Below are 25,916 nucleotides of genomic sequence, written 5' to 3'. Positions count from 1 at the left end.
CACTCCCACTAAGAGGCCACTCCCCATCACGCCCTCCCCTAGTCCCGGGCAACCACTAATCTGCTTTCTGTGCCTACAGATTTGCCTATTCTGGACATTTCATATAAACAGAATCACATTTCCTATTAATAGAATCATGTATGTCCCTCTGTGACTGGCTTCTTGCCCTTAGCATGTTTTCAAGGTTCACCCATGCTGTAGCATGATCGGTGTTTCATTCCTTTTCATGGCTGAATAATATTCCATTATAGGGACATACCATGTTTTGTTTATCCATTCATCCAATGATGGACATTTGAATTGTTTCCACCTTTTAAGTATTGTGACTAATGCTGCTACGAACAATTGTAAATAACTACTTGTTTGAACTTTTTTTTTTTTTTTTTTTTGAGATAGAGTCTTACTCTTCTGCTCAGACTGGAGTGCAATGGTGCGACCTCGGCTCACTGCAACCTCTGCCTCCCAGATTCAAGTGATTCTCCTGCCTCAGCCTCCCCAGTAGCTGGTATTACAGGTGCGAACCACCACGCCCAACTAATTGTTTTTGTATTTTTAGTAGAGACGGGGTTTCACCATGTTGCCCAGGCTAGTCTCAAACTCCTGACCTCAGGTGATCTGCCCGCCTCGGCCTCCCAACGTGCTGGGATTACAGGTGTGAGCCACCGTGCCCGGCCTGAACTTTTTGTAAAGGCAAGTGAAGCAGTGGGAGTGGAGAAGGAACAATGACATCAGTAACTGGTTGTGATCAGCTAGTTGTAAACACCACTGCACTCGGACCAGCCTATGTGAACTGTTTCTACTTCTTCTGGGTGCACACCTAAGAGAAGAATCACTGGGTCAGATGGTAGTTCTAGGTTTAATGTCTTAACATAGTATCCTCCATTTTGCCTCTTGGCCTGCAAAACCTAAAGTATTTATTTTCTAGATCTCTGCAGAAAAAGCTTGCCAATCTGTGCTCTGAACAGAATTTATTATTCCTTTTAGCTGTTTAATGCTTTATAATTACAAAGTACTTTAGCATATATATTATATACTTTGATTTCATTGGCTTTTCATTACTGCATTTGGGAGCAGAAAAGACTGGTGGCAGGACCCTCATTTTACAGATGATCAAGACCCGAAAGCTCTGGGGAGCCCCACTGGGGTCCCACAATGACTAGGAGCTGGAAGCGTGACTCAAGCACAATCTCCCTTCAAAATCCACTTTTCTTCTATTCTCCCGCCAGCTAATCCAGTCACTGCAGACAAACGTATCAACAAGGGGACTAGGAAAGTGTTTTACTGGAACATTTTATTAAGAAGGAACTTTAATTTAATTTAATTGCCTTGTAGCAATGTCAATGGGGGAAATTCTAGAACTTATTAAAATAACAGTGATATCCCCAAATCATCTGAAGAACATACAGAGTCGTGTAACTGACTTGCCCAACCCACCAACATCGCCACATATTTATCCAGCATGGACAAAGCACCCATTTTAGCTCAGGAAGCCCATCGGGATGGAGCCCCCAGTGGGTGCTTCCCACAGCCGGGGTGGAGGGAGTTTTAGGGCTGCTGACCCCGTCACCCACTGCATTCTCGAGCTGAGCCGACACTGCCTTAGTCCTGGAAGTGGTGCCCCCTCCAAGACGTAACTCCCCACCAACAGAAAACTCATGGTTCTCCAGGCAGTTCATGACATTTTGCTATGATGAAATCTCTCCCTTTGCCTTCATTCAATGTACGGCAAGGTGTGCCAGGGACCACAGCAGGTGCTGGGAAGAGAGAAAGCAACAGGATTAAGGCCTCACCCTCGAGGGCCCTCCGTCTAGCAGGGGACACGGAGCCACCACCTGCCCCCAGGGGGACTGGAGGGGAAGCATGTCGCAGAACTGCAGAGAGCAACGCGGGATCGGGGGGTCATCCAGCCTGGGTTGGGATAAGAAAGCTTTTGTCCCTCAGAGCAACGGGCTGACGGCCACAGAGCCTGAGTATGGAAATAGCACAGACCGTCATCGGGGTCACCTAAGTCTCAGGCCTCCTGCACACACCCCCACCTCCCCTTCCCCTTGGCCTCACTGGGCTGATTCTCAAAGCAACAACCCCCAAGAATAATGTGAAGAAATCTGGCCACTTGGCCACGGTGCCTGGAGGAACAGGACGATTCCTGCCTTTGAAAAATTGTCAGGAAAACACTTATGACGTTAGGAGGACTTGAAAACAAATCTTGTGAAGTTAATAGAAGCACAGCAATTAGAAAGGAAAATAATCACATTTCCTTCCTGCTAAATCGGTATTTGCCTCTGGTGAAGTCAATTATGTTAAAGAAAATAAGTTATTATTTTCGAAAAATAAAAAAGAGGTTGATAAGTGCCTTTATTCCAGCAAATAAAACTCCAAGAAGCAAATGCTTGAGTTCCTGCGTTTAGGAAGGTCTCTAAGCAGCCTGCATGGGGTTTCTTAAAGGACATGTTGGGATGAGCCACACAATTCGTGTTCATCTGCACATCACTCCTGGCCTCAAGAGAAACTCATGTTTGTCTCTCAGAAGGAGAATGAAACACAGCCAGCTCCTAATGATCTTTAGACAGCCAAGAAGCTTGGCCGAAGGGCCCCCACACTCCCTCTCGGCTTTCTCCTCCTCCAAATCCTCTGTGCCCATCTGCACCTTGACTTTCTCCTCCTCCAAATCCTCCGTGCCCACCTGTCCGAATCCTCCGTGCCCACCTGCACACCCTGCCAGACCAAGTCGTTGGGGTTTCTAGCTTTTCTTCCCAAATATACAGAAGTGACTTCGCTGACTTTGCTGCTAATAACACAGTATCATTAGTAACAGTAAGCAGCTGTTGAGTGTTTACCATGAGTTAGGCCATCCCGCCCCACTTACCCCCGGGACAGTTGGCAATGGCTGAGACATCCTGGCTTGACATCCTGGCAATGTCAATGGGGGAAATTCTAGAACTTATTAAAATACCAGTGATATCCCCAAATCATCTGAAGAACATACAGAGCTGGAGGGGGATCCTGCTACCGGGATCTACTGGGCAGGCCCTGCTAAGTATCCAGCAAGGTACAGGACAGCTCCCCAGGGTGAAAAATTATCCTGCCCAGAATGTCAACAGTGCAGGGACTGAGAAACTGTGCTGACATGACCCAGGTCATTCAACTCTCCAGCAACTCTGTGCAATAAAAAGTACCGTCATCACCTTGGACAAGCACACCAGCTGGGCACAGGCGGCTACCGCCACGCACCAGTAGGCAGCGGCAGCGGCATGCAAGCCCAGGCATCAGCAGAGCCCCCGCTGCACGCTGGTGGATACCGGGCATCAGCGGAGCCCCCGCTGCATGCTGGCAATCAATCCCAGGCATCAGTGGAGTCCCCGCTGCATGCTGGCAATCAATCCCAGGCATCAGTGGAGTCCCCGCTGCACGCTGGTGATCCTGAGCATCAGCGGAGCCCCACTGCACTGGCAATCCCGGGCAGCCTCCCCTGGAAGTCCCTTCTTTGTGTTGAAGCCACTTAATATTCACAGGGACCAGGCAATGAGCCTCAGGCAGGTCACTTTGCAGGCAGCACAAGCTCTCAATGGGCACAGCTGAGTCTCTCTCGTCCAGATGCAGGCCCAAGCTCCTAACTATGCCTGGCTAACAAGAACTCATACCCAGAGTTCCATCACCCCAGAATCTGCTTTAGGGGTTCTGCCTAAGGAACTGAAGAAGGAAAACTCACAGCTTTATGCGCCTGGGGGAGACAGGCCTCTAATGTCCTCGACCCTGACCTCTTAAACTGGCCCTGGGTGCGCTTAGTCCTCACATCTCCTCCCCACTCTCCTCCTCCTCCTTCCCACTTCCACCTAGGGCTCCCAGGCCCTAAGGACTCAAGACCATTCTCACTGGGCCCTCAGCTCTCGCAAAATCTTGTCCCCACAGCCCGGGGTGGAACAAAGGGATAAGTCTCTTCCAGAAGGGGTCCGGAGGCCAATGTGATGAGGCCAGCAGTGCCCAGGGCCTGACTCGGATCAGCCACAGACCCTGTGAAGCTGAGGCAGGGGAGTGGGAATTGCAGACTGTGACCGGGGACCAGCCAGGCACCCAGCTGGACAGGAGTGGATCTGGGAATGAGGCCAGGATGGCCACGAAGGGCATTTTAAAGGGCTTCCGGGCTGGCTGCAGGCACCCACAGTCTGAGGAAATCTGATCAGAGAACCAGAATGAATGACAGGCCCTGAGAAGACAAAACCTGAATATGTTGGTTGAGCTGTGAAAAAATACAACATCGACAGTTCATTACCCACAAGCCCGAAATACCCACAAAGTTCCCAAACCCAAAGAGATTTCTGTAATTCATTTAACTGCAAAAGTCTAACCTGAGCGGAGAGGAGCTAATTACGGATGGCTTCCCTCGTGCTGTGAATGTTCACACGCTCATGGCAGCAGAATCAATATGCTCGACTCCAGGGTGTTGCCCAGAGCTGCTCGGGGTGTCTGGCACAGGAGCCACAAGCACAGCTCCCACCTGTCTCTCTGCACTGTGACAAACTGGAATTCTGAAACACCGCTGGCCTCGCACAGCTCCCACCTGTCTCTCTGCACTGTGACAAACTGGAATTCTGAAACACCGCTGGCCTCGCACAGCTCCCACCTGTCTCTCTGCACTGTGACAAACTGGAATTCTGAAACACCGCTGGCCTCACACAGCTCCCACCTGTCTCTCTGCACTGTGACAAACTGGAATTCTGAAACACCACTGGCCTCGAGAGTTTCAGATATGGAAGAGTTGGCTGTATCAGACTATAAACCCCATGAGGGCAGCTCCAGATACCAATGTCTAAGAACAGGGCTGGCAAGCAAACAGGAAGGAAGGAAGAAAGAAGGGAAGGAAGGAAAGGAGGGGTAGAAGGAAGGAGGGGAGGAAAGGAAGGAGGAAAGGAAGGAGGGGAGGAAGAAAGGACAGAAGGAATGAGGGAAGAAGGGGAGAAGGGAGGGAAGAAATGAGTTATTTCGAGGCAGAGTCTTCTTTAACTTTTCTGTGGCTTAGGACAGAAGGTTTCCTAACCGAGGCTGAAACATACAGGCTTCATCACCATTCGTCTCTATACATAGGTTACACAGCAGCCCAGGCTAGCTGCTTATGCAAGATGTTCATCTACTCACAACATAATCAATTACTAGAAAACTTGTCTACTAGTAAGTAAAATAAAAATCATAAAACTTTGAGGAAAGTGAAACTCACAATGCCACACTGTCCTTTTCCAATTTAAAACAATCACCAGAAATCATATATTTTCTCTATAAGAAGTTAATATTGACTGTATAATAGTTTAACATGAATAACCCAACACTAAGTAGTACTTTCTCTTCTCAAAGCTCTTCCACACACACGGTCCTGCTCTCTCCCCTGGGCAGAGCTGAGATGCACAGATGTGCTAGGATATGCCCTAACTCCAGGTAAGGGGCCTGGGGCTCAGGGAGGGCAGAGGTGGCAGCAGTTAAGTGCTGTACCCAGGAATACCAGACCCTATTATTCAGGCTGTCAATCCAGTGCTCTAAACTCCACACCATAGTGTCCCAACGCCTAACTTTTAAGTCACTGTTGCTCTCCTTGATTTAACTTTATAGCCTTTCTCATTGCATACATACTCATAGACAAGAGTTATTTCAGAATATAGAGATTCCATTCTATAAAGACAAAAAACACTTAAAAACAAAGACACGGTTCTCATTAGCAAGCTTTAGTACACAGCCTTCTGAGGCCAAAAGAATTAAACAGCACAGGAAAGGGGCCTGGGGTGTGCATGTGTTTTTGGATGGTGGGAACAGGAACAGCCAGACAGATATGAAAAGGACAGGACACACTGAGGCCAGGCACGGTGGCTCACGCCTGTAATCCCAGCACTTTGGGAGGCCAAGGTGGGCAGATCACGAGGTCAGGAGATCGAGACCATCCTGGCTAACACAGTGAAACCCCGTGTTACTAACCCGTGTTAGTAACTAAACCCCGTGTTACTACTAAAAATACAAAAAATTACCAGATGCGGTGGTGCACACCTGTAATCCCAGCTACTTGGGAGGCTGAGGCAGGAAAACTGCTTGAATCCAGGAGGCGGAGGTTGCAGTGGGCCAAGATTGTGCCCCTGCACTCCAGCCTGGGCAACAGAGCAAGACTCCATCCCCCCCCCGCCCCCAAAAAAGAAAAAGACACATTGAGAAAGCAGCACTGCTCTCGGGCTTGGTATACCCTGAAGAATATCCTGAAATCTATAGGACATAAGTAGCAAAATACACCCCAAGGAAAAAGGCGGCGTCTGTCCTTGGCATCACTTCCGTCTTTATAGGGACATGAACATCTGTTCTGCCAAGTGACTTTCAGGGTGAAAGTCCTGAGGATGTACAACCTCTATGCTCAACGCCAATGAAGCTGAAGAGTCCAGACTAACATTCTTCCTGGTAATGGAAAATAAGCATCAATAGGAACACGTGGAGGAGACCACCAAATCCACATTCTCCTCTTCCTGCGAGGCACACAGTCAGATTACATTTCCCACCCCACTTGCTGCAGGTCTGACCAGAGACTCAGGTCACGGTGAGAAAATGTGAGCAGAAGGGATGGGCACCACCCCCAGACCAGGCCAGAAAGAAAATCTATGCACCATCCTCATCTCTTTCTTTCCCCATCTACAGGTTGAATGGGGAAGGGCAGTGGAGGGCAGACTGGCAGGGTCAAAGGAGCCAGAGACTCTGAATGGCTGGGCAGAGCAGAGCCCCTGCTCACCCTCCCCACCGCCCACTTTGACACAAATGAAAAACAAACTTGTATTGTATGAAGCCAGCAAAATGTTGGGGCTGTTTGTTACAGCAGCTAGCTAACAGTCAGAAAGGAAATCATGACTGTTACATAAATACACCTAAGTTTACCTAGTGTAACCAATTAAGTTAAATCACTCCCCTGGGTGTGGTGGCTCACATCTCTAATCCCTGCACTTTGGTCAAGAGTTTGAGACCAGGGCAACATAACAAGACCCTCTCCCAATCTCCTTAAAAAAGTTTTTTTTAATTAGCTAGACCTGTAGTCCCAGCTACTCAGAAGGCCAGGGTTGGAGGATCACTTGAGCCTGGGAGTTCAAGGCTGCAGTGAGCTATGATCGCATCACTGCACTCTGGTCTGGCCAGTAGACCAAGAGCCTGTCTATAAAAATAAATAAATAAAATAAAATTTAAAACTGAAACAAATCACTCAGGATGGCATAAAAATCTTGCATCACACTCCTCAGGAGATGCAGCAACAAATCATAGGTCTAAACAGCAACTGCATCTAGATAAAGACTCAAGGTAACATTTCTGATGAGAGATGTAGAGATCTGCCTTCATCCTGTCCCTTCAGGACCCCCCAGCAATCAATAAGAACTACAGTCCCTGATCTAACCTCAGAGCTAACATTAAAATTCTGACCAGCACTTTGCAACAGGCAGGGGCTACAGAAGCAATGGGGCCCATGCAGCAGGGCTGGGGAGAGCCTGAATTAAGCTAGAGATTCAGTCCCAAGCAACACAGCCTTCTACTTACAAAGCAATCAATAAAGGATGAAAGAAACTAACATTATCAAGCACAGACCATGGGCCCGGTTTGGGCTAGGTTATCTCTTTCTCCTCAGAAGGGCCCAAAGAGGTTGGTGTTATCACCAGTTTTACAAAGGAGAAACTCAGGCTTAAGGTAAATAACCCCCAAGGTGACATGCCTAATAAGACACCAGGCTGATATTCAAAGACGGATCTCTATGACCCCTAACCTGAGCTGTTTTGACAGCACACACTATATGCCAAGAGAAAGCATCTTTTTCTCCTCAAGGCACCCAAATGAAAATTCAACGAACTGACAGACATCTGTCTGGGGTGAAACCATCTGCCTTTTGAAGACAGGGAGTGCCTGCGTGGATACTCAGTTTCCCACGTGCATGTGGGCATGTGGATAACTGCAGAGTGGCAGGCCAAAACTGAGCTTGTAAGTCATCATCAAGAAGCCCGGTGTCATTTATTTGTCACGAGCCAAGCCCCCTCCCTTGCCCCATGAGCTCCTGATATTAAAGCGCTTTTCTGACGGCCCAAGGCCACGGAGGGCCACGCAAGGTGCGAGTGGAGGACAGAAGCCAGCCTCGTGGGCTGTGGAGAAGAACAGTGCCCCCTGGAGTTGTGTGGGACAGCCCTGGGTCACCAAGTGTGTGACACCAGCACCAAAGCCCGGGTTTTGCCATCACTGTCCAACTGGGATTCCAGAGCCAATATGAGGCTGCCCTACTCATGCTACAAAAACATAAATGGTAAGAAACTGGAATTAAGTCCAAGCAGGATGTGTGAATATCCTAATGCTAAATGCAGCTTAAGCCCAGGTAGGTTGAGCTCAGAGACTGAGCCACACTCACAGGAGAATGATCACACTTAAAGAACTGCTCTGAAGTTCCTGTTTGGATCTCAAACTACCTGATTGCATTGTTCTGTCACTAATTTGATTACAAGGAATTTCCAGATCTGAACAGAAACAAATTGGAGTCCCATTAGAAAGCTCCTTACCTCCCTCGAGTCCAGTAGCACCAGGGACCCATGGGCTTGCAGGAAAAAAAAAAAAAAATTCAAAGGCCACTAAAGACAGAGGGAAACTGTAGATGAAAAGTCTTATGTTATCAAAATCATACTGTTATGGGCTACACTGTGTCCCTCCAAATCCATATGTCAGTGTTCTAACCTCAGAAATTCAGCATCCTGGATGTGTGACTGTATTTGGAGGCAGGGAATTTAAAGAGGTGACTAAGTCAAAGTGTGGTCTTTACGGTAGGGTAGGCCCTTATCCAGCATGACTAGTGTCCTTTCTTTCTTTTTTTTTTTTTTTTTCCGAGATGGAGTCTCACTCTGTCACCCAGGCTGGAGTACGGTGGCGCGATCTCGGCTCACTGCAAGCTCCGCCTCCCGGGTTCACGCCATTCTCCTGCCTCAGCCTCCCGAGTAGCTGGGACCACAGGCGCCCGCCACCACGCCCGGCTAGTTTTTTGTATTTTTAGTAGAGACAGGGTTTCACCGTGTTAGCCGGGAGGGTCTCGATCTACTGACCTCGTGATCTCCCCGCCTTGGCCTCCCAAAGTGCTAGGATTACAGGCGTGAGCCACCGCGCCCGGTCTCTTTTTTTTTTTTGAGATGGAGTTTTGCTCTTGTTGCCCAGGCTGAAGTACAATGGCGCAATCTTGGCTCACTGCAACCTCCGCCTCCGAGGTTCCAGTGATTCTCCTGCCTCAGCCTCCCCAGTAGCTGGGATTACAGGCGCCCGCCACCATACCAGGTTAATTTTTTGTATTTTTACTAGAGATGGGGTTTCACCATATTGGCCAGGCTGGTCTCTAACCCCTGACCTCAGGTGACCCGCCCACCTCAGCCTCCCAAAATGCTGGGATTACAGGTGTGAGCCACCGAGGCTGGCCATAGTGGCCTTGTAAGAAGAGGAAATGAGGACACTGACACACACCGAAGGAAGACCCTATGAAGACAGGGTGAAGACAGCTGTCTGTAACCCAAGGAGAGAGGTCTCAGAAGAAACCAACCACCAAAACACCTTGACTCCGGCATTACAGAATTGTGAAGAAACACAGTCCTGTTGGTTAAGCCACCCTGTCTTGTGGTCCTTTGTTATGGTAGCTCCAGTCAACTAACACACAAATTCCACACTGTGATTTCAACGTCAGCTCCAAAGCACTTCCCATCATATCAATAAAAGCAAATTGAGGAACAGTGGCTGATGGCAAATGCAATCCATTTGCATAACAATGTTTCCAAACTGCCTTAAGATACATTAATTAGTTCCTGTCAACTCCCATCAGCCCAACCTCAGTGAAGCAAAGCCCACAGTACCATCCAGAACATCGCTGCTTAAAAACGCAGAAACCAGGCTGGAAGAGGTTCAAACACTCACCCTGGGTCATATGCATGAACAGTGGCCTTGTCAGGGCTAAAACTCAAACTCTGACCCCTCCTCGGGCGCCTCCTCATTTCCTCCCTGAAGGCCTTCCGGATGCACTGAAGGGTTTGAAAAGTGAACATCTTGACAACCGCATCTTGACAAGCGACCACCTGGTGTTAACCGTGGTCTCCACACTGGTGCATGTGCCCGGTCAGCCTTCCACTCCATGATGTCTCTTCAAACTGGATCAAAGTCCTTCCCTGAATACACTGGACAATTTCACAGCTCAGTGGACCCGCTCATACAGCGCTCCCACCAGCACCCCCTGGGTGGGCTGCCTTCTCCTGTACCGCAGCAGCACAGGGAGCTGCACGCTGGCTCCCAAATGAAACCAAGGCAAATGCAAACTCCAACCACAATGACAGACAACTACACACCTACACAAGCAATAAGGACGGTGACAAATGATGGCAAGGATTCCGAGAAATCTACAATCACATATACACTGCTGGTGAGAATGTGAACTGGCACAGTTACTCCAGGAAAGTTTGGCAGTTTCTTAAAAAGCTAAACATCCAACTACCAGACGACTCAGCCTCTGCACTCCTGGGCATTTATCCCAGAAAATGAAGACTTAGGTTCACACTAAAACCTGTATGTGCTTGTTGACAGCAGCTGTATTTGTCACAGCCAAACTCAGATGTCCTTCGACAGGTGAACAGTTAATCTGGGGCATATCCAGACCATGAAATGATACTCAGCAAAGAAAAGAAGCAACACCCGGATGAATATCCAGAGAGAGATACTGAGTGAAAAAAGCCAATCCCGAAAGCTTACCTCCTATGCAATTTCACTAACGGAACACTCTTTAAAGGACAATATTATAAAAACACAGAACAGGCAAAGGGTGGCCAGGATTTGAGGGGAGAAAGGCGTGGAGGGAGGTAGGCGTGGTGCTTGTGGTGCTGGAAATGTTCTGTACCTTGACTATCGATGTCAATATCCCAGTCGTGATGCTGTACTACAGCTTTACAAGACGTAACCTTAGGTGAAACTAGTAATGGCTACTCATGATCTCCCTGAATTATATTTTACACCCGCATTTGGCTATAATTATCTGAAAATACAAAGTTTAATGCAATCATCTGAAAATACAAAGTACAGAGAGGAAGAAAAGAAAGAAGGGAAAAGGGAGGGAGGGAAGGAGGGTGGGAACAGCGTACAAGTGTGCGCTTGCTACAGCGATGGCCCTGGGGCGTCAGCGCCACACCCAGCAAAGGACACCACGTGGCCTATTTCTTCCTCCCCATTTCACTACCTGCATCCACAGAGGTGATAAAGAGACAGAACTATTGACACACACTAAGACAATCCTGATCAGATGTCTGGTATCCTAGGCAAACAATGGCATAGAAATAAATTTAAATTTCTTATGTTTCCAAAGTAAAATCAGGTTTGTAGAAATATAATATGCCCTGATTTGGTTTTGCTGCAATTCCAGTGAATGAAAATGCCTGCATTTCTATTTACTTATGATCAAATCTAATTTTTCTTCCCCAAAGTAGCAGCTTGCTTGCTACTCTAGATAACAAAAGAGATCTCTCATCAACTCCCACGCTCCCAAATTTATTTGGATATCACACTATTCCTAGCAATTATCATTGCTTAGAGCTAATGTGAAGGCACGCAAGTCAGGCTCCTCACACTGAGCAAATGTGACTTCTACCCCAATTAGGAAGCAAAACACACTATCAAGAAACCAACTTTTGAAGAAAGGCATTTTTCCAGCAACCCGTTAACCGCACACAGAAGTCACTTGTCACTATGTTTCTAAACTTTATGCTTTATTAAATAAAAAGTTAACAAAAGCAACGCTTCGTTGAGTACTTGGCATATCTTAAACGCAGGGCTAAATTCTCTGCCAACATCATCTCAGCGAGTCCTCACGACTCGGCAGCAAGCAGGCTTGGTTCCACTTCACAGATGAGAAAACCAAGGCTAAGAAAGTATGAGTAATTTGCTCAAGGGTCCCATTATGAGTAAGAGCAGTGCCAATGCCCCATCCCATTTGAGAGCTGCACTTGGAAGTGGCCAAAGTGAAGAGCACACTTGGGTTCACTACCTTCAATGAACTTAGTAACAGATCTCAAGGGTGCAAGAGAGCCTCACCCTGCAAGCTTCTCTCCCATCATCTGTATTAGTTTTCCACTGCTGCCGTAACAAATTCCCACAACCCAGCCAGCTTAAAACCACACAAATGTATTATCTCAGTTCCACAGGCCACACGCCCAGCAGCTCAGGGTCTCAAAATCAAGGTGTTGGCTGGCTGGGCTCTTAGCAGGAGGCCCTGGGGAGGAAATCTGTTTCCAAGCTCATTCAGGGTGTTGGCAGGATCCAATTCTTTGTAACTGCCGATCATTAGCTAGGGGCCTCCCGTAGCTCCCTGAGGCCTCTCTCTGGTCCTTGCAAGTGAGCCCCTACATCTCAGGGCCAGCAACTGTGCTTCCAAACATAGGATCTTCTGACTGCCTGTTTCACAACTTTGACAGCCAAAGTTCTCTGTGCCCACGTGGATGGTCCTGAATAATCTCCCATCTACGAATTCCAAGTAACCTGAATCACATCTGCCAAGTCCCTTTTGCCATGTAACATATTGAATTCACAGAGTCTGGGGATTAGGGCGTGGACCTTTTTGGGGACCATTATTCTGCCTTCAACACCATTGTTGAGATGTGAGTGAGTGAGCACATGGTCCTCACGTGTGATTCTAGAACATACTGCATCTTTTCACCTAATCTTAGGAACAGGATCCATGGCAACATAATTTTATTGACGTCGGGACATAAAACTGCCTACTGGGCTGTGAGAGAAAAGATCATCTGGCCAGTGTGACAGCTGAGTCAAGGTTTATGCCTGTTAATATGCCAGGCCCGTAAACATGACCCACCAACTCAAAACCAAGGGGGAAACGCGGGCTGGTAAATTTCACAGGCAGCCCCCAGTGGAATGAATTGGGAGGAACCAGCATTTCCTGCCTTTGCAGAAGGAACCCCAGATCAGCTGTTTACTCCTTTCCCAATTTTACAAAATAAATATACAACTGAAGTATCTCATTTACAAACAATGCTTCTAACAGATTCCAAGTACTTGCAAACAATAAGCTGTGATTCATGTTTCCAAATGAGATGGAGTTTTATCATTTTCTTACCCCTCGTGATTCGTTCATGGGCCAAGTGGCCAGAGTGGAAGTGTGGTCCACCCACAGAGCCACCAGAGCGCCTCCAGGGAAACACAGCCCTGTTGTTAAGCTCCGAAAAATGCTGGAGTTGGTAAGGATGGTGGAGGGGTCCTCCAGTAATTTTCCCTTAGGTGGAAACAGCCAATCACCTACTGGCAATAAATCCCTACATCCCAGCACCTACATCCTTCCCAGTCAGCATCCTTCGTGAGAACCACTAAAATCCTCCCACTGCACACTTGCAGACAAGTGGGGAGCCTGGGATGGCCCCATTGCGCTCATGCTCAGCTCCCCTCCCACCCTCCCTGATGGGGGACTCTGGTTAAAGTGCCTCTGGATGCCGATGGAGTGGTGCTGTCTCATTACTGTCTACCCAGCAAGCTGTCATCTGCACCCAGTGAGAGGAAGCACAGCAGCCACTCTCTTCTCTACCTTCAGCCCTTCACATCTTTCCTAGCATTTCCTGGCAAAACCATCCCAGATACTTTTCGCCTTTTAAAATTTTCCAACAGTTTTCTATTTTTTCTTTTTTTAACTTTTTTAAATTTATTTTTTCTTAATAATCAAACATGGAGTTTTCTTAAAACCAAAGTATTAGCAAGAGGTGTGATGTTAGAAGTCACCACCATGAGCGCTGGTGAAGCTTCTGGAAGGTGTGAGACTCAAGCGCACCGCCCTGTTCTGGCCCTCAGCCTCCTCCCCAGCAAGGAGACCCCGTTCTCCCATCTACGAACATTCTTTTCAGTCTTCTCCAGACCATCCAGCTACACTATAGGATCCTAACTGACACCATCCAGGTCTCTCTGGGGGCAGACGAAGGGTAACAAGGTCTCTTAAAATGTGGCGTCCCAAAGAGAAGCCCTCCCCATCTGCAGGCAAGCACAGGACACTGTGGCAGCTGAACCCAGGGCGGCCACACTTCACACCCAGGAGGCACCACTTACTGGTGATGTGACCTCAGGCAAGCAATCCACCTCTTCCTTGCCTCTGTAGAATGGGAGCAGTGATGGCCCCCACTGCACCCCGATGGCCCCCACTACACCCCCAATGGCCACTACTGCACCCTGGCCATGGGCACCTAAGTTGCTTCCTCAGCAGGGCCAGGGCTATGGGATGCCTGCTCCTCTGCCAGCCTCCTGCCTCTCCTGCCTATCCACCTCTTCCTCTCTCTCTGCGTGTGCTGGTGCTAGGTTCCCTGGGAGTCAGTCCTCAGCTCTCTCCTCTACACACTACCCCCGCAGGGACCCCCACTGTCGCCACAACCCAAGCATTCTCAGGTGGAATATCCACCCCGAACCTCTCGCCTCTGATGCAGACTGAAGGCCCGTGCCAAGTGCCCCAGACTGAATCCATTAGGTGGTGCACAGGGTGCAGGTTACACACTGAGTCTGCAGTCAGATGAGCTCTCCTGCACTTTTGTGAATGTGTCTGGGCCTCAGTTTCCTCATCTGCAAAATGGGGAGATGGGGAGGAAGCTCAGTCATAATGGTCCTGAAGCAAGGAGGCCCCCTATGCCTCCCAGCATGTGGAACAAGCTAAGTGCAGGCCCGGTAGGACCCAGGGCTGTCCCAGGACTGTCCCCGTGACCACTGTCCAGCTGGCTCCGTGGTCAGGGCATACTGTAAGTCATTGACAGCAGAGAGAAGCAACTGTTCACAGAAAGGAGAGCGCTCCGGGGACAAGGGCTGCCAGGGCGCTTCCCAAAAGTCAGAGAGCCAGGATTCGAACCACACCAGCAGAGGGTCGGGCAGGTCCAGCACGGGCCAGGCACAGAATGGGCGCGGGGCTGCTGCTGAGACGGTGCCCTTGGAGGACACAGCCTGGGCTGTGGGAGGCGAGACCACCAAAGGTCTTCCCAGTCGGGTCGAGTGGCCTGGATGAGGCAGGCGGTCAAGGATGTCTGTGGATGGTGGGACGGGGAATAGCAAGCCCGAAAACCAACTGGGAAGATCCCGGACCCGGGAGAGCAGGAGAGTAGCCACGGCCCAGTCCCGACACCAGGCGCGCAGATCACGAAGAGGTGGGCGTCCGCAGGCCTCGGCGACCGGCTGCGGGTCCCCGGGGCGCAAGGATGCGGGTCCCACGCGGACGGGCCCGTCTATTCAGCCGCAAGGGAAAGCCTCCCTCTCAGGAATGCGCACTCGGGTCCGAAATGTAAACTTGCAACCCGACTCCTTCCATCCCCCCTCGGAAGCGACAAAGAGCCGCGGAGCAAAAACAGGCCCCCGCTCTCCCGGAAGGGTCTCCAGGCCTGGGGCCACTGGGGCGCTCGGCCGCTCGCCTTCTCTCCAAGGTCCCACACGGTCCCCAGCGAGACCGCCGAGGGGCAAGGGGCGCTGGCCACCCAGGTCGCGCCCCCTCCTCCCCGCCGGGAAAGGGCGGAATTATCCGCTGGGACCGCGCCGACCTGAGCCCGCCCACCCAGAGCCCGGACGCGGGACGCAAGTTCATCCAAGAAGCAGAAGCCGCCGCGAGACAGTGACCCCTGGGCTTCCCTGACGGGCCCAGCCGCGCAGATAGCAGCGGCCGGGGCCGGGGAGTTGGGGGTAGCCCGGGGGGCTCCACGGCAGAGGTCCAGAGGAGCGGGCGTCGGAGGGGACACCCTAGGGAGGGACGCGCCCGCCCCCATTCCCACCCCACCCCCTCGTGTTCCCGACCCGCATCCCCGGGGCTGGAGCTGACGCCGCCGGGGGCGCGGGGCGGCCGGGGTCGCCGGGCATTGCGAGCGGGGCGGCGGCGCGGGCGCGGGCGGAAGCGCCTCTCCCCGGCCCGGCGGCCGCTCGGGGCGGCGGCAACAGGCGCCCGGCACACCCGCCCCGCCGGAGCCTGGGCTTGGGGCGAGAGGCGCGGCGGCGGCGGCGCTGCTCACCCACGCCGTACTTCTCCTCGCGCTTGGTGGGCACCCAGCGCGTCATGGCGCCGCCGGAGCCGCCGCGGGTCGGGCAGGAAACTCCGCGTCTAGGCCGCCATTTTCCATTCCTTTCGAGCCGCGACAGGATGGGGAGGAAAAAGTTTGCGGCGGAGGCGGCGTCATGTGGGACGGGGCGGGCGGAGCGTCGCGGGCCGGATGGGAAAGGCCGGGAGCGCCGGCGGGAGGCGGGACGGCCGCGGGCTCTGCGCCCGCCCTCGGCGCGGACCCTGGGCCCCGACCCCGCGGTCGCCGGGGCTCCCCTTCCTCTGTCCCAGTGCGCCCAGCCCCGCGCTCCGCACCCGGGCACCCCCGCGGGGTTCTCCTGAGTTCCTGGAGCTCCCGGGGCTGGCGCTCACGCCGTGAGAGGGGTGCGCCCTTAGGGGGGCGGGACGGACGGGGGGTTTCTACGGGAGGTAGGAAACGGGCGGCTTGCAAGGCGCGGGCTTAGGCCGGAGCCTGGTGGTGCGAGGTCCCCAGCTCGGATTTCTCCCTGGTGGAGAGTCCCGGAGCAGAACAAACCAGCAGAGGCTCTGGAAAGGGTCCTCCTGAGCACGTGGCTCATTCATTCATTCGACAAACGTTACCTGAGCGCCTGCCCACTCATTGCCCGAGTGTGCTGGGAGCGCCGCACCAACTGCCTGGTAGGTGGGAGAAGGGACACGTCAGGTAACAAACAGCACAGGTAAGTGCCGGCCACTCAAATGGGGTGGAAAGAGGTGGCACAGCGCTGCCGAGGGAGTGCGTTCCAGACAGGTGACCTCTTGCTTGGGTGCTGAATGAGTGGAGTTTTCCAGAGAGACCAAGAGGAAGCAGCCGCAGAAACCTCAGCCCAGCTGGGCTTGCAGAAGCTAATGCTAGAATAGTTGTGGGACTCAGGATCTGCTGAAGTCGGGGGAAGAGAGAAGTAGGGAAAGGAAAGCCCAGGCCACGCGTGGGGCTCAGGAACGGCATCCTCGCCCGAGGTGGGAGTTCTTCTCAGGCCCTGGTGTTTCCCATGACAGTAAAAGGTGGGGGCTTCAGATTTCTCCAAGGGAAAAGTTAAAGCAACACACACCTATTTATTTTTACTGTAATTTCAGAAAAGAGAGGTTAAAACCAAGACATGGACAAAGCCTCCGAATGAAGGCAGCCCTTTAAATGGAATAAATTTGGTTTCATGGCACATTAATGGGGTGTCTTCTCTCCGAAGACACAGAGACAACTACAGTAGGTCTGGGGGCCGTCAGGGATTGGAGGAACGAAGGTAAGAAAAGGAAGAAGGTAAGAAAAAGAGGTCCCTACCTCTGTGAGGTAGGGACAGTGCTGAACAGCAGGGCTGGGAGAGCCCACAGGGAGGTGGCCAGGATGGCCACAGGGCCTGGGGAGGACCAGGTGGGGCACCATCCTGCGGTAGAGAATGCCCGTCACCTGCCCTAGGGGCCACCCAGAATGCAGATTAAATAAGTATTTGGGAATGGCACAGGAGCTTTTCCATTTTCGTGGGTTAGAGGAAAGCTGCTGCGTTCAAGAGGATAACGTGGGACCTGAGCATTCTGGTAAGTCAACCCCACATTCATGGAAAGCCACGGGCTCTGTTTTACTGATAAGGAACTGAAGTCCCACAGAGGAAGTGGCCAGGCTCACTCACACACAGCATGCACTTGAAGCTTTCTGTGGAAATCAGAAACCTCCGGGGCTCAGGCGCTGTAGTGGTGGCCTGGTGACTCTGACCCCTTGAAGGAGAAGCATCTGTGAAGGTGCTGTCCAGGACAAGTAGGGTGCTCTACGGTAAAGGACATGGTGGCCTGACCTGCTCCAGAGCAGGGAGGCCTCCCTTGAGGAAATAAGATAAACCCAGACTTTAAGGATAAGCAGAAACCAGCTAGGTGAACTGGAGTGGGAACAGCACGTGAAAAGGCCCTGGTTTAGGAAGGAGCACCACTCCTTCAGAGCACAGAAAGGCCAGGATGGCCGAAGCATAGGGAACAACAGGAAAGTGACATAAATTGAGGCTGCAGAGGTAGAAGAAGGGCCTTATTGGTCGTGCTAGGAATTTGGAATTCTGCAAAGAAGCCTGGGAAACAGATTTTGGTGACACTCGCCTTCTCTTTAATGTGCAGTTTCAGTTCTGTTGGTGTGATTCTGCATTGGAGATGGCGTGCTGTAACGAATGGCCAGGAGCTTAAGAGTCATGCAGACTTGGGAGGCCTGGCCTTGCCACGCCCAGCTGCATGGCCATCCTCCTCCTGTTTCTGGCCGTTCTGTTTCTAAACCTTGGGGTTCTGATATTCCTACATGTAAACTAGGGGCTGTAATAGGAATCTCACAGGTGAGTCTTAGGATTATAAGAGGAGACATGACTGCATGTGTAAGACATCATAATGATGTGCTTCCTCATCTGACCCTACCTCCAGGTTCTTTGATAACCTCATGGTTCCCATTTTCTAGAACAGTTGCCACTTGCACTCAGATAAAGGTGACTCACTGAATGCATAAATAAGTGTAGTGCCGGATTTGCATACTTTTGGTAGACTGTCATATAATAAATTTATAAATCAGAATTTTAAAACTCCAGGTGGGGCCGGGCACAGTGGCCCATGCTTGTAATCCCAGCCAGCATTTTGGGAGGCTGAGGCAGGCAGATCACTTGAGGTCAGGAGCTCGAGGTCAGCCTGGCCAACCAGGGTTTTAGTAGAAACCCTGTCTGTACTAAAAATACAAAAATTAGCTGGGCGTGGGTGCGCATACCTGTAGTCCCAGCTACTCAGGAGGCTGAGGCAGGAGAATTGTTTGAACCCAGGAGGTGGAGATTGCAGTGAAGCAAGATCGCACCGCTGCACTCCTGCCTGGGTGACAGAGTGAGACTCCATCTCAAAAACAAACAAAACAAAACTCCAGGTGGACCACGGGCCAGGTGGTTGTAGCTTCAGTCCCTTGATTGCAACATGTGCCCAAGTTTGGCTGAGATGTACCTGTAGCCACGGTCCTTGAAGCCCTGAGAAGATTTGTCAGCATCCCCACGGTGCTCCAGCAGTGCTCTCATCTTGTGGCTCTAAATCGAGTCCATGGCCCTCTCTCACTGTCCTATGGTTGCATAAGCTCAGAACTGGCTTCGTCTCCAATTCCAGGAGCCCTGGAGGTTGTGGCCTGTTGACATTTTTACCTCCTGAGTCAATGTGGCTGGGCCACAGGTCTCAGTTGCCCTCCCAGGCATCTTGCAGGACTTGGATCTGTGCCAAGCTTGTGGGTGTGAACAAGCCCAAGAATGCTGAGGCTCTCAGTTGCTCAGTGCTGCCCATCACTGGGATTTCAGAGTAGTGACCCCCCTCCTCCAAGATACAACAGAATCTTGCTTTGGGGCCATGAAGAACACAATCAATATTACAGTTTTAAATCTTGAAAAGTACAGTTTTAATTTTTTTAATTCCAAAAAATTTCACACATGTGCACTGCAAATTCAGGAGGTAAATTCAGCAAAATCTTGCCTGGTGGAGGTACCAGAAGGCACAGTGAGTCAATGGGGCATGTTTCTCAGTCGGTGGGGAGAGATGAGAATGGAACAGGGATGTGGAGATTTTATGCAGGAAAAGGGGCCTGACCACAGATTTTTTGCCCTTTGAAAGGAGAGGAACAAGGCCTATGCCCACTGCCTCTTGGATTCAGTGGGAGATCTGGGCATCATACTGGATGACCAGGCATGTAGTCACAATGCACAATGCCACCCAGCCCAAAAGTGTATATTCAAGACTTTAGACCCAACTTCGTGCTTACAGGAAATAGAGGAGGTTGAGGAACAAGTGACACCATAAGAAATACAGTGAAACAGGCCAGGCACCGTGGCTCATGCCTGTAACTCTGAGCACTTTGGGAGGCCGAGATGGGCAGATCACCTGAGGTCAGGAGTTCAAGACTAGTCTGGCCAACGTGGTGAAACCCCATCTCTACTAAAAAAAAATATCTGGGCATGGTGGCAGGCACCTGTAATCCCAGCTACTCAAGAGGCTGAGGCATGAGAAGCACTGGAACCCGGGAGGCCGAGGTTGCAGTGAACAGAGATCGTGCCATTGCACTCCAGCCTGGGGGAACAAGAGTGAAACTCCATCTCAAAAAAAAAAAAAAAAGACACTGAAACAAAGCCAGAAGGTAGAATATTCTTTCAGGTAGTAGTCTGGTCTCTTCAATAGTCAATATTATAGAGCAAGAAGGGGCCAGTGGAGAAGAGCTGTTCTAGATTTTAAAAGATGTAAGAAATACAACATTTGGCCGGGCGCGGTGGCTCACGCCTGTCATCCCAGCACTTAGGTAGGCCGAGGTGGGCGGATCATGAGGTCAGGAGATCGAGACCATCCTGGCTAACATGGTGAAACCCCGTCTCTACTAAAAATAGAAAAAATTAGCCGGGCATGGTGGCATGCACCTGTAGTCCCAGCTACTCAGGAGGTTGAGGCAGGAGAATGGCGTGAACCCGGGAGGCGGAGCTTGCAGTGAGCCGAGATCGCGCCACTGCACTCCAGCCTGGGTGACAGAGCAAGACTCCATCTCAAAAAAAGAAAAGAAAAGAAATACAACATTTAAATGCACTGTGTTATCCTTAATTGGAAACTGCTTTAATTATCCAACACTAAAAAAATGTCAAGGGCAAGAGGTGGTTTGAACTATGGACTGGTGTTAGATGATGTATTTTTTTTATTTTGTTAAGTATAATAATAGTTGTTATGGTTAGGTGGGAAAAGATCCTTAAATTTTAGAGCTGCATGCTGGAGTATTTAGAAGTGAACCGTCATTGTATTTGTTATTTAAAATACTACAGGAATAAACAAGATGAAGCAAAATTGCTCAGTCTAGATATGGGTCTATGAGTGTTTCATCTTTCTACTTTTTTCTCCATGTTTGAAATCCTTGGTAAAATAAAGTCAAAGTGGAGGAAGGAGGAGCTTGAGATTGAAAAATCAGTTTGAGAAGCAGCCACCTTGACTGGCTTCACTCTAATAGCCTGGACGCTGCCTCCACACTCCAGGTGCACTGCTCAGCATTCTCCAAGAAGATCATTAAGGCAGACCCTACGTGTTAAATTTCAATCAGTTTCATTGAGCAAATATGCTGTTAAATAGAGACTGCTGTGTGCTGCGTCAGTGTGCCTTATGGGCAAATGTGATGGTGACTATAAATGCAGACCAAGCAGTCCTTCCCACACTGTGTACACAAAGAAAGGAGCTCTGGAACTGGGAGCCAGGACATCTGCAGGAGGAGAATTCTGAAGTGAAAGGAGGCCTGGATATTGGTTGCAAGGCCTTGTCCCTGGAGCCTGGATGCTCTCATACCTTCTACATCTGGGCCTCTGGGTCCAGGACAGTGCCAGGGAGAGTTCATAGAAACAAATGTGTTGAAGACCTTAGCGGTTGTCTGACTCTGAGACAGTTACCTGGCCACTCTTAAGTTTCCTCATTTTTTTTTTAATTTTACTTTAAGTTGCGGGATACATGTGCAGAACGTGCAGGTTTGTTACATAGGTATGCATGTGCCATGGTGGTTTGCTGCACCTGTCAACCTTTCATCTAGGTTTTAAGCCCCTCATGCATTAGATATTTGTCCTAATGCTCTCCTTCCCCTTGGCCCCCTGTCAGGTCCTGGTGTGTGTGTTGTCTGGCCCCCACCGTGTCCATGTGTTCCTATTGTTCATCTCCCATTTATGAGTGAGAATATGTGGTGTTTGGCTTTCTCTTCCTGTGTTAGTTTGCTGAGGATGATGGTTTCCAGCTTCATCCATGTCCCTGCAGAGGACATGATCTCATCCTTTTCATGGCTGCATAGTATTCCGTGTTGTGTATATACCACATTTTCTTTATCCAGTCTTTCATTGGTGGACATTTGGGTTGGTTTCATGTCTTTGCTATTGTAAATAGTGCTGCAATAAACATTATGTGTGCATGTGTCTTTATAGTAAAATGATTTCTATTCCTTTGGGTATATACCCAGCAATGGGATTACTGGGTCACATGATATTTTTTGGTTCTAGGTCCTTGAGGAATCGCCACACTGTCTTCCACAATGGTTGAACTAATTTACGTTCCCACCATCAGTGTAAAAGTGTTCCTATTTCTCCACAGCCTCACCAGCATCTACTGTTTCTTGACTTTTTAATCACTGCCATTCTGACTGGCAAGATTTCCTCATTTTTAAGATAGTGTGACTTCTAGGGTGTTGTGAAGATTTAATGAAATAATGGTAGCAGAGCTTAGCCCAGGTAAGGACTCTGGATGAAACAATGGTTTTCCTACGCTGGACATCAGGTGGTGCAGGACTGTGATCCCTGAAAGGAGTAAAACAACTGAGGTGCACCCTGTGGTTGCCCAGCTTCCTTCCTGGAGGCAGCTTTGGGCTGCGCACAGGAGGGAGAACTCAACTGAACCCTGAGTCTCACTGGGTGGAAAAAGATAATGGAGTTCAGAGAAGCGAAGTCACTAGGATTCGCAGGTCAGAGTACCCAGGATGAGGGAGCTGCTCACCCAAAGAGAGAACACCAGAGTTCTGCAGAAGGGCCACCCTAAGTCTCTGTCTGAATGCTGATCTCTGCATCTGTGGAGTGAAGCTCCGTGAGGCTGGCAGCAGAAAGGACACCAGAGAGTACCAGGCCTGGAATAATTCAGAAAACTCACACAGTACTCAATGTTCCCTCCAGCCAGTGTGGAAATACCTCACAATATAGAGGGTATCAGGCAAAGTCCTCCAAAAGATCACAGCTTTAAACCAAAGGCTACTCTGGTAAGTAATAAAACTTAAAAGCCAACTCAAGAGAATGAAACTGAGCTCAAGTTACTTGCTGCATGCTGGAATGAAGTACAGCAGTGTTTAATCACAACAATGTAAAATCACAATGTCTAGCATCCAGTCAAAAATTACTAGCCATGCAAAGATGCCAGAAAATATGGCCCCCAACCAGGGGAAAAAGTCAGTAGAAACAAATGCAGAAATGACAAGGATGATGGAATTAGCAGACAGAGGCCTGAAAACAGTGTTATAAATACACTCTATGTGACCAGAGAGATAGAGGAAACTATGAACATAATAAGGAAAGAACCAGAGGCCAGGGAAGCCAGAGCCAGTGCTTTCATGGGAGCTGCGATTGTCATGTGGGACTGGTGTAGATGATCTCTGAGGTCCCTAATTCTAGCCAGCAAATTCTGGTATTCTCAGTTTCTTCCTTTTAAACTTAGGCAGAAGTGATCCTTCCTATCTCTGGTTGGGAGCACTCACTGTTGCTACTGTTCTGAGCTCTGCGAATTATAGTGGCTGCCTACTGTAACTGTGTCCCCACTCACTCCTCTTTTGGTAACACCATCCTGATTGTTCTTTGGGGATCCACTATTATGGGCTGAATGATGTCCCCCCAAAATGCATATGTTAAAGTCCTAATCCCCAGTACCTGAGAGTGTGACTGTATTTTGGAGATAGAGCCTTGAAAGAGGTCATTAAGGTAAAATGGGTGAGCACTAATCCAATTTGATTGATGTCATCACAAGCAGAGGAAATTTAGGGCTGGGCCAGGTGCTCATACCTGTAATCCCAGCACGTCGGGAGGCCAAGGTGGGAGGATCACTTGAGGCCAGGAGTTTGAGACCAGCCTGAGCAACATAGTGAGATCCTGTCTCTACAAATGAAAAAGAGGAAATTTGTACTCACATAGAGACACTAGGGCTGCACACACATACAGACCATGTGAGGAGAAGGTGGCCATCTACAAGCCAAGGAGAAGAGGCCTCAGAGGAAACTCGATCTGCCCACAACTTGATCTCAGACCTCCAGCCTCCAGAACTGTGAGAAAATGATTTCTGTCGTTTAAGCCTCCCAGTCTGTGATATTCTATTCTAGAAGCTCCAGGAAACTAGTACATCCACCCTCCCCTACTCCCAGTCCAAGAAGTTCAGGAGGGACAGACCCTCCCCTTCCCACTGCCTGCTAGGGGTTGTCTCATGACCCAGGTCCTGGCAATCAGTGAATGCCATTGTTCTTGGCCCAGCACTTAATTCAGGGACCCATCTATTGACTCAGTTTAGAGTTTCTGATGGACCTGAAGGAACAAGACACTCTCTTCCGTGGACTTTTCAGTTACATGAAACACGCATGACTTTTTTTGTTGTTGTTTTTTGTTTTTTGTGTTTTTTTTTGAGACAGAATCTCTGTCGCCCAGGCTGGAGTGCAGTGGCACGATCTCGGCTCATTGCAACCTGCACCTCCTGGGTTCAAGCGATTCTCCTGCCTCAGCCTCCCGAGTAGCTGGGACTACAGGCGCCCGCCACTATGCCTGGCTAATTTTTGTATTTTTAGTAGAGACAGGGTTTCACCATATTGGCCAGGCTGGTCTTGAATTCCTGACCTCATGATTCGCCCACCTCAACCTCCCAAAGTGCTGGGATTACAGGTGTGAGTCACCACGCCTGGCCTTTTTTCTTAAAACTATTTGAACTGAGTTTATGCACTAACGGTAGAAAAAAGCCATGACTATAAAATTGCAGGGCTTGGGTCAAACAGATGTCAGGAGGCTCCAAGTTCAGCCACCTCCTAATCATAACACCTTAAATGAATGAGTCTCAGCCTCAGTCTCCAATTCTGAACTAATCCTTGCCTTGTAGGATGGTTGGAAAGATTCAACAAAAAAGAATGCACTGGCACATCGTAGGTGCTCAGTACACATGGCTGGCGTTTCTCCTTGCTGACTCTGCAGTCCCCTGCACAGGAGCTGTGAGGCTGCCCTCTGTCGTACATCCTCACCCAGAGCCATCCCAAAGGCTAAGGACAGGATGGGGGCTGCAGAGCTGGGGGCTGGCCATACTCCAGGGTCTGGCTGTCACCATCTGAAGGTTCAAACCACAGCTGCTGCAGCTTCCTCTTCAGAGCCTCGGAGCCTGATTCCTTTACCCAGGAGGGTCCTTGTGAACATGCCAAGCTTCCCAGTTACTGCCAGAGTCTGGATGAGTTCCTACCGTGTGCCAGACCTCCCATCTTCCCATGGTTGGATGAGTGCCTACTGCGTGCCAGATCTTAACATTCATCCCACGGTTCTGCTGATACATCAGAAGGCACACTGGGGGCAGGCTCCAGAGGTGTGATTCAAGGAAGTCCAACACACAAACCCACACCTTTCCCCTCCTCGGACATGACTGCAGGCTTAAGGTGTCCAGAAGAAAGAGAAACTCCTACTAGCTGGAGGAACTGGGGAAAGTGGACCAAGAGGTGACCTCTGGGGGCAAGGGCGGGCGTGATGGAAACACGTCATTCCAGGCAGAAGGAACGGTCCTTGTTGGCAGAGTGCTCAGTGCCTGGGACTGGAGGATGGGGGTAGGTGGACAGTGAGTGGCAGGATATGGGGCCAGAGGGTTGGGGTCTGAGATCACTGAGCCCAGGGAGTAGCACAATCTGAAACTATGCCTTAGGGAGCTCACCCTGGTGGCAGTAGGGAAGATAGACTGCGGAGGGAAAAAACTGGAATCCGGGAAATGGGTTAAGGTGTTTGTGGAATGAATGTCTAAAGAAAGGAAGGAAGGACTGAATAAATGGGGGTCTTGAGCAACTCGGCCTCCCTTCTGGGTGCTGCAGGGGCTGTGTATGGCACGGAGAGATACAAGCCCAAGTGCCCTGCCCTGGGCACCAGCTGACCTGGCCCATGTAAGGGAGCAGCTGATTGACAGTGGAGAATACGTAGCAATCCCAATTAACCTTTTTTTGAACCTGGACAAGCCATCTGAAAGTAAGCATCACAGGGCACCCACTCCCAGACCTTTTCCCAGAAGAGAACACGCCAAGGACCTTCAAATATATTCGCAAACCCGTTACTGGGCTCTGTCTTTCTGGTTCCATGGCTGGGCCCTGAAT

At 50.1% G+C, this 25,916-nt stretch overlaps 1 protein-coding gene and 2 long non-coding RNA genes across 19 annotated transcripts in view, besides 4 other annotated features; 1 reads left to right on the top strand and 2 right to left on the bottom strand.

Moving 5' to 3' along the window:
- DOCK1 (dedicator of cytokinesis 1) overlaps positions 1 to 16,161 on the bottom strand; it is a 547,089-nt gene extending 530,928 nt beyond the window's left edge. For all 17 annotated transcript variants that reach the window (XR_007061946.1, NM_001377544.1, NM_001290223.2 and 14 more), the window contains exon 1: positions 16,026 to 16,161. Coding sequence is in view for 16 of the 17 variants with exons in the window: in NM_001377544.1 (NP_001364473.1) it covers positions 16,026 to 16,071 (46 nt within the window). In the remaining variant the exon portion in view is untranslated. The remainder of the gene's footprint in view (positions 1 to 16,025) is intronic.
- Positions 1,273 to 1,821: an enhancer, noted in NCBI's record as "H3K27ac-H3K4me1 hESC enhancer chr10:128608337-128608885 (GRCh37/hg19 assembly coordinates)". NCBI's record gives its function as "activates a minimal SCP1, AML or CMV promoter by ChIP-STARR-seq in naive H9 embryonic stem cells {active_cell/tissue: H9 hESC(naive)}" and the evidence as "EXISTENCE:reporter gene assay evidence [ECO:0000049][PMID:30033119]".
- Positions 1,275 to 15,858, bottom strand: LOC124900289 (uncharacterized). Its single transcript, XR_007062336.1, has 2 exons — positions 4,559 to 15,858; positions 1,275 to 4,495 (listed from the first exon to the last, which is right to left on the bottom strand). It is a non-coding gene; the product is annotated as an uncharacterized LOC124900289 (long non-coding RNA).
- Positions 9,699 to 10,199: an enhancer, noted in NCBI's record as "H3K4me1 hESC enhancer chr10:128599959-128600459 (GRCh37/hg19 assembly coordinates)". NCBI's record gives its function as "activates a minimal SCP1, AML or CMV promoter by ChIP-STARR-seq in primed H9 embryonic stem cells {active_cell/tissue: H9 hESC(primed)}" and the evidence as "EXISTENCE:reporter gene assay evidence [ECO:0000049][PMID:30033119]".
- Positions 10,200 to 10,700: an enhancer, noted in NCBI's record as "H3K4me1 hESC enhancer chr10:128599458-128599958 (GRCh37/hg19 assembly coordinates)". NCBI's record gives its function as "activates a minimal SCP1, AML or CMV promoter by ChIP-STARR-seq in primed H9 embryonic stem cells {active_cell/tissue: H9 hESC(primed)}" and the evidence as "EXISTENCE:reporter gene assay evidence [ECO:0000049][PMID:30033119]".
- Positions 14,392 to 15,140: an enhancer, noted in NCBI's record as "H3K27ac-H3K4me1 hESC enhancer chr10:128595018-128595766 (GRCh37/hg19 assembly coordinates)". NCBI's record gives its function as "activates a minimal SCP1, AML or CMV promoter by ChIP-STARR-seq in naive H9 embryonic stem cells {active_cell/tissue: H9 hESC(naive)}" and the evidence as "EXISTENCE:reporter gene assay evidence [ECO:0000049][PMID:30033119]".
- On the top strand, positions 16,211 to 20,878 carry LOC105378550 (uncharacterized). The gene is made up of 2 exons (XR_946449.3): positions 16,211 to 17,029; positions 17,147 to 20,878. It is a non-coding gene; the product is annotated as an uncharacterized LOC105378550 (long non-coding RNA).

Source organism: Homo sapiens, chromosome 10 (genome assembly GCF_000001405.40).
Source record: "Homo sapiens chromosome 10, GRCh38.p14 Primary Assembly".
Classification (NCBI taxonomy): domain Eukaryota; kingdom Metazoa; phylum Chordata; class Mammalia; order Primates; family Hominidae; genus Homo; species Homo sapiens.
The sequence above is the reverse complement of the archived record's forward strand: the minus strand, read 5'-3'. Positions and strand labels throughout refer to the sequence as shown.